Source organism: Homo sapiens, chromosome X (genome assembly GCF_000001405.40).
Source record: "Homo sapiens chromosome X, GRCh38.p14 Primary Assembly".
In the NCBI taxonomy this organism is placed as follows: domain Eukaryota; kingdom Metazoa; phylum Chordata; class Mammalia; order Primates; family Hominidae; genus Homo; species Homo sapiens.
In genome coordinates, this window is record NC_000023.11 from 147,372,153 (window position 1) to 147,379,623 (window position 7,471).

Here is a 7,471-nt window from a genome sequence, read left to right on the forward strand (position 1 = left end):
TTTGGGCGGTAAGGCCATTTTAATGATATGTATTCTTACATATTTATTCCATGAGCATGGAATGTTTTTTCATTTATTTATGCCATCTCTGATTTCTTTTAGCAGTGTTTTATAGTTCTCCTTGTAGAGATCTTTCACCTCCTTGGTGAAATATAATTCCAGAATTTCATTTGCTTTGTCACTGTTATAAATGGGATTATGTTCTTGATTTGATTCTCAGCCTGGATATTGGTGTACAGAAATGCCACTGATTTTTGTACATTGAATTTTGTATTCTGAAACCTGACTAAAATAGTTTATCAGCTCTAGGAGCCTTTTGGCAGACTCTAGCATTTTCTAGGTATAGAATCATATAATCAGTGAAGAGACATATTTTGGCTTCTTCATTTCTTATTTGGATGTCTTTTATTTCTTTCTCTTGCCTGATTGTTCCTGCTAGGTCTTCCAGGACTATGTTGAATAGGAGTGGTGAGAGAGGGCATCCTTGTCTTGTTCCAGTTTGCAAGGAAAAAGGTTCCAGCTTTTTGCCATTCAGTATGATGTTGGCTGTGGGTTTTTCATAGATGGCTCTTATTATTTTCGGTATGTTCTTTTGATGCCTAGTCTATTGAGAGTTATTATCATGAAGGATTGTTGGATTTTATCAACAGCTTTTTCTTCAGCTATTGAGACGATCATGTGATTTTTGCTTTTAATTCTGTTTACGTGATGAACTAAATTTACTGATTTGTGTATTTTGAACCTTGCATTCCAGGATTATAGCCGACTTGATTGTGCTGTATTAATTTCTGATGTAGTGCAGTACTTTGTTTGCTAGTATTTTGTTGAGGATTTTTGTGTCTATATTCATCAGGGATATTGGCCTAAAGTTTTCTTTTTTCATTGTGTCTGTGCCAGATTTTGGTATTAGGCTGATGCTGGCTTCATAGAGTGAATTAGGGAGGACCCCCTTCTATTCAAGTTTTTGGAATAGTTTCCATAGGATTGCTACCAAATCTTATTTGTATGTTTGATAGAATTCAGTTGTGAATCCATCTGGTCCATGCTTTTTTTTCTGGTTGGTGGGATTTTTATTACTGATTCAATTTCAGAGCTCAATATTAGTCTACTCAGGATTTCAATCTCTTAATGATTCAATTCCGGGAGATTGTGTCTTTCCAGGAATTTATCCATTGCTCTAGAATTTCCAATTCATATGCATAGAGTTCTTAATATTCTCTGAGCATCTTTTGTATTTCTGAGAGATCAATTGTAATGTCATGTGTCATTTCTGATTTTACTTATTTATATCTTCACAATTTTTACTTTGTGAATCTAGCTACTGGTCTATCAATCTTGTTTACTTTTTCAAATAACTAACTTTTGGTTTCATTTATCTTTTATATGGATTTTTGGATCTCAATTTCATTCAGTTCTTCTCTACTTTCTTCTCCCTCTGCTAGCTTTGAGATTGGTTTGTTATTTATTTTCTAGTTCCTTCAGGTTCAAAGTTAGATTCTTAATTTGATGTTTTTCTACCTTTTCTATGAAGGTGTTTAGGACTATAAACTTTCCTGTTAACATTACTTTAGCTGCATCCCAGAGATTTTGATAGTATGTATTCCTATTGTCATTAATTTAGAAGACATTCTTCAAAATATGTGCCTTAATTTTGATGTCCATCCAGGATTTATTTAGGAGCAATTTGTTCAATTTCCATGTATTTGTATGGTTTTAAGCAGTATTGTTGACGTTAATTTCTATATTACCCTGTTGTCTGAGAGTATGCTTGGTATAATTTCAGGTTTTTAAAATTTACTGAGACTTTTTTTGACTGCGAATGGGGTTGATCTTGGACTATGTTCCATGTGCACATGAGAAGACCGTATTTCTGTGGTTGTTGAGTGCTCCGGAGATGTCTATTAGGTCAAACTGGTCAAGTGTCAAGTTTAAGTCCAGAGTTCCGTTGTTAGTTTTCCTCCCTGATGATCTAACACTGTCAGTGGGGTGTTGAAGTATTCTACTCACTTTTATTGTGTGGTTGTCTAAGTCTTTTCATAGGCCAAGAAGAACTTGTTTTTATGAATCTGGGTGCTCCGTTGTTGGGTGCATATATATTTTGAATAATTACATCGTCTTTTTGTATTGAACCCTTTATCATTATGTAATGCCCTTCTTTTTCCTATTTAATTATTATTGGTTTAAAATCCATTTTATATGATAAAAGAATAGCAACTCCTGCTCTTTTGTGTTTTCTGTTTGCATTGTAGATCTTACTCCATCCCTTTATTTTGAGCTTGTGTGTGCCATTACATGTGAGATGGATCACCTGAAGACAGAAGATGGTTGAGTCTTGGCTTTTTATCCAGCTTGCCACTCTATGCCTTTTAAGTGGAAGTTTAGCTCATTTACATTCAGGGCTAGTGTTATGTGAGATTCTGATCCTGTCATCATGTTGCTAGCTGGTTGTTATGTAGACTTGACTGTTTGATAGTCTTTATAGTGCCTGGGGGCTATGTGCTTAAGTGTGTTTTTGTGATAGCAGTGCCATTCTTTTGATTCTATGTCTAGCACTAAGGACCTCTTGTAAGGTTGGTCTAGTTGAAATTAATTCCCTTAGCATTTTTTTCTTTGTTTTTTGTTTGTTTTGTTTTGAGATGGAGTTTTGTTCTGTCGCCCAGGTTGGAGTGCAATGGTGCAATCTTGGCTCACTGCAACCTCCGCCTCCTGGGTTCAAGCAATTCTCCTGCCTCAGCCTCCCGAGTAGCTGGGATTACAGGCATGCACCACCACAGCTGGCTAATTTTGTATTTTTAGTAGAGATGGGGTTTCACCGTGTTGGTCAGGCTGGTCTCAAACTCCTGACCTCAGATGATCCGCCCACCTTGGCCTCCCAAAGTGCTGGGGTTACAGGCGTGAGCCAATGTGCCTGGCCAGCATTTGCTTTTTTGAGAAAGATTTTTTTTTCCTCTTTCACTTATGAAGTTTAGTTTGGCAGGATATAAAATCCTAAAAATATAAAATGTTTTTTCTTTAAAAATGCTGAAAATAGGCCTTCAATTTCTTCTGGCTTGTAAGGTTTCTGCCAGAAGGTCTGGTGCTAGCCTGATGGGGATCATTCAGTATGTGACCTGTCCCTTCTCTCTAGCTGCCATTAAGTTTTTTTTTTTTTTTTTTTTTTTTTTTTTTTTTTTTTTTTTTGCATTGACTTTGGTGAATCTGACGACTGCGCATTGGGGATAGCTGTATTGTATAGTATATAATCAGGGTTCTCTGTATTTCTTGGTTCTGCATGCCAACCTCTATAGCAAGTTTATGAAAATTGTCACGGACTATGTCCTCAAATACCTCTTCCAAGTTGTTTATTCTCCCTCTTTCTCTCTCAGAATGCCAATGGGTCATAGATTTGCTCTCTGTAAATAATCCTGTATTTCTCAGAGTTTTGTTCATTTAAAAAAAACCTTATCTTTGTTTTTATCTGATGTAATTGATTCAAATAACACATCTTTGAGCTCAGAGATTCTTTCCTCAGCTTGGTCTATTCTGCTGTTAATACTTCTATTTTTATTATGAAATTATTGTAGTTAATTTTTTAGCTCTAGAAGTTTATTTTGGTTCTTCATTAAAATGGCTATTTTGTCTTTCAGCTCTTGGATCATTTTACTGGATTCCTTGGACTAAGATTCAACTTTCTCCTAAATCTCAATGAGCTTCCTTGCCATTCAGATTCTGAATTCTGCCTGTCATTTCAGTTATTTCTGATTGGATAAGAACCATTGTTGGGGAGCTAATGGACTCATCTGGAGGTATGGGGACACTCTGGGTTTTTTAATTGCCAGAGTTCTTGTGTTGATTCTTATCTGGGAGTGTTGGTGTTCCTTTAATTGTGGTTTAAGTTTATTATAGTCAGTTGACTTCATTTCTGGATGTTTTCAGAGGGCCAAAGCTCTGTGCAGGGTCTTTATTTGTGGCTGAATTATTGCCCTTGCTTTCAGAGTGGTATATACTTTCAAAGCATTTTTGGTTTTGTAGTTTGGGCTGCGATACAGTAGATTGTGCTTAAGAGTAACGACCAGTAGATAGGCTCTTACTCAGCTGTGTGGCTCCTTTGTATTTCCTCATGTTTGCAGCCATGCTCTGTGATGTGATGGGCAAAGAGGTCACTCCCTCATCAGGTCCACTCCTGGGTTTTGGGGAAGCACCCTCTGATCGCTGGCACTATGCCTGCATTTCTTTTGTTAGATGTTCCAGGAGAAACACAGAGCCACTGACAATTAGAATGATCAGACAGGAGCGGGGTGGCTGTGCTGCAGGCCCAAGCCAGGGGACCCTGTTGGAAGAAGAGCAGGGGTGCGGTCACACAGAGAAGACAGTCTGTCCTCCTCTCCACAGGGCATCTGTGGCATGCTAGAGGTGTGAGCAAAGAAATGAGCCTATTTGTTTCCTCCTTAGCTGCAGGGGAGCAAGTGCAGGTACCTGCTAAGGCCTTTCTGTTGTCTTTGGGAGCTCCACCCCAGAGAAAGCAGAGTCACTGACTAAAGCGATTAGGTGGAGGTAGGGTAGCTGTGCTGGGGTCCCAGGCTAGGAGGCCTTGCCCAGTGAGGAACAGCAGGGGCAAGGACGCACATGGAAAACAGTTTCGCTTCCTTTCAATACAGCAGCTGCAGTGTGCTGGAGGCCTTGTGACAGTTTTCAGGCTGTTTGCTCCCTCCCCAGCCTGAGATAAGCAGAGGCAGGGACCTTGACAGTGGCAATCACAGTGGGAGTTCTGGCTCAGAGAAACGGAGAGTTGTGACCATCTGGAGTCCTCAGCTGTGGTAGGGTGGCTGTGCTGGGGTCCAGGCCGGTGGCCCTTGCCTGGCAATGTGCAGCAGATGTGGGGCCTAAAGTCTGTCCACTCCTTAGCACTGTGGACGCAGCCCCTATCCTAGGGGCATGTGAAAGGGTCAGACTTCCCTTGTTGTCAGGGCTACAGAAGCTGGTGCCAAGGTGCTCAGGGATCCAAGGCCCATGGGACTCAATGTGGGTTTGAGTGCTGGCTCTGCTCAGACTCCAGGCAGCTTTCTGTGTCACTCTGGAGGCCCACAGTGGTCAGGTGGGCTCTCCCATGCTCAGCTTGCAAAGGTTCACGGCAGCAGTGTAGGTCCCCAGGGACTGTCACTCACTCACCATTTTAAAGGGACAGGCAGCCTCTCCTGGCTCCATGCCAATCCTGGGTAGGTGCCTTGCTCTTCTCTGCTCTCCATGGGTTGTCATTGTTTCCTTAATGAATCGCAGCGTGGTCTCCTGGGCAATCCACTTTAAGAGCTAGTGTGTATTCACCACTCTGTCTCCTCCGAGAGAGTGGTACACACTAGCTGCTTTTAGTCAGTCATCTTGAACCTGTCTCATATGTGAGTTTCTAAAAATTAAACATTTTGTTAAACATCAAGTTCTCTTTCAGCAAAAAGTAAAGGCATTAAAATCATTAGTAAGGATTCTTAAGTTAAGCATTCTCTCCTGACCAGAAAATTCTCTTCATACGAAAAGTAGAGAAGCTAGGAAACAACAGAATATTTAATTCAAATATATGTTATCAATCAAAAACAAAAACCAAGACATTATAATATTTAAAAAAATTAAAATAGAAAATAAAAGCAAAATGAACCAATTCATTAGTGTGATACTACACATTTGATGACCAATAGTGATTGTCAAAAATCTCATTAATATGAATGCTGCCTTGGCATCCATCTTATTGTCTTGTCCCTAGCTTGTCACCCTTGACCTACATATTTTGAGACAGTCCTCTCAGTTCCTGTTTTTTTGTTCCAGGTAGATAAGGCTCCATACACTGAAGTGCTTGACCATCTTATTTCTGCTTGTAAGCAAGCCTGGTGAAATTGACAATTTAAGCCCATATTCCCATGCTTAGCCCCTTGCTCCTTTCAAATTAACCAATACAACCTGTCACAGAAAAATCTACATAGATAAGGACCCAGACCTCGAAAAAGGCATGGGCCCACAGGTCCCTCCCTCTCACTCTTACTCTCTACCTGCTGGCTGAGTACACGTCCTGAATGCCCCCTACTCATTCCCATTGGCCCTGCAAAGCATGCTGCCCTCTTCTCTCTGGAGTTTGTGAGTAATAAACTTACTCTTTTGCCTTTCTGGTCTGAGTTTCCCTTACTGTGCTGTACGTGACTACACCAAACTTAACAAATACTTAACAAATTAAAACAATATTACCAATGTTTTGTAGGAATATAAACAGATCTTTTTAAAATTGTAGTTGTGCTAGTCAATAAATAAGCATCCAGTTAAAGTGAATTTCAGCAATTTAGTGTATCTCCATGTTAATGGAAGAGGCCTAAAATCAACCCAAGAAAACATCTGAGGTTGGTATTTTCCATGTTATTCTTCCTAGTGATTCAATATATTCCAAACAAGTTTCTTAACGGGAAGTTTAAAAATGATCTTAAGTTGACAGTGAACAATAAAGGGCATGACAATTTTTTTTTAGTTCTTGTTTATTTCATTTTTATATCATCGTCTCCTGCCGAGTGTGGAAAATGGACTTCAGTTCATATACTGATACCTCAGCCTTTTATTTGAATAGACTTTAAGTTTGTTACTGATTTTAAAGTGGAAATGTTGCCTTCTTTAAAAGTAGAGCATTTGCTGAAATAATGCCTACATGATCAAAACATGTGCATACAACTTTTAAAAAATGTCATTAGTCATCCGCATAGTTCTCTACCTAATCCAATGTCTAACACTTTAGAGAAAAAATAACATTTGCCTTGCCGATTATTCCCCAGATATTATCACTCAACTTTTCCTGTCACGTGATCATTTGTAGAAAGGATATGTTTTCAAATAGATGAAAATGTTTATTCTAATATTTGCACTCGTGTGTGAGCATGCCTTTTGCATTATACATGTATTTGTACATAGTTAACTCTTAAAGTTCTATAACTTATTTGAAAACTATATGGACTTTTTCCTTTTCTGTTTTCTACATGCAAAGTCTACTTGTAAAGCCGCTATGACATATACTTGATTGCCCATGCCCCCCGCCAAAGTTAGTTTAAATATAAATGCAGCTCAAACTTTTTACACGATTTGAAAGATTCACTAGTCTGAAAATGCAAAAAAGTACTAGCAGTTATGAAAGCTTTGTATTAAAGAAGAAGCATCACAAGAGTAGATTATTTTGAAATTAGAAAGAGTTTCCTCTGTGTAACTGATGAGCAAAATCTAAACTGGGGAAAATGTCATGTCAATGAAAATTTTAAATGGTAAACTTTACCCAAGGAACAAAGTAGTTTTGCCTATAGAAAGGATTACGCAAAATAGGATTTAAGAAAGATAAACAGTGGATACTGAATGGAGAATTTTAATCATTCACACACACATTGAAAACTATATAGAATTAGAAAAGATAGAGGAGCAGTTAACTAATATTTCAACCTGGATTACTATTATAAAGCCTAAGTGAAGAGTGGCCTTT

General features: G+C 38.6%; 1 annotated feature.

The window, feature by feature from the left end:
- Positions 4,957 to 5,507: an enhancer, noted in NCBI's record as "NANOG-H3K4me1 hESC enhancer chrX:146458627-146459177 (GRCh37/hg19 assembly coordinates)". NCBI's record gives its function as "activates a minimal SCP1, AML or CMV promoter by ChIP-STARR-seq in naive and primed H9 embryonic stem cells {active_cell/tissue: H9 hESC(naive and primed)}" and the evidence as "EXISTENCE:reporter gene assay evidence [ECO:0000049][PMID:30033119]".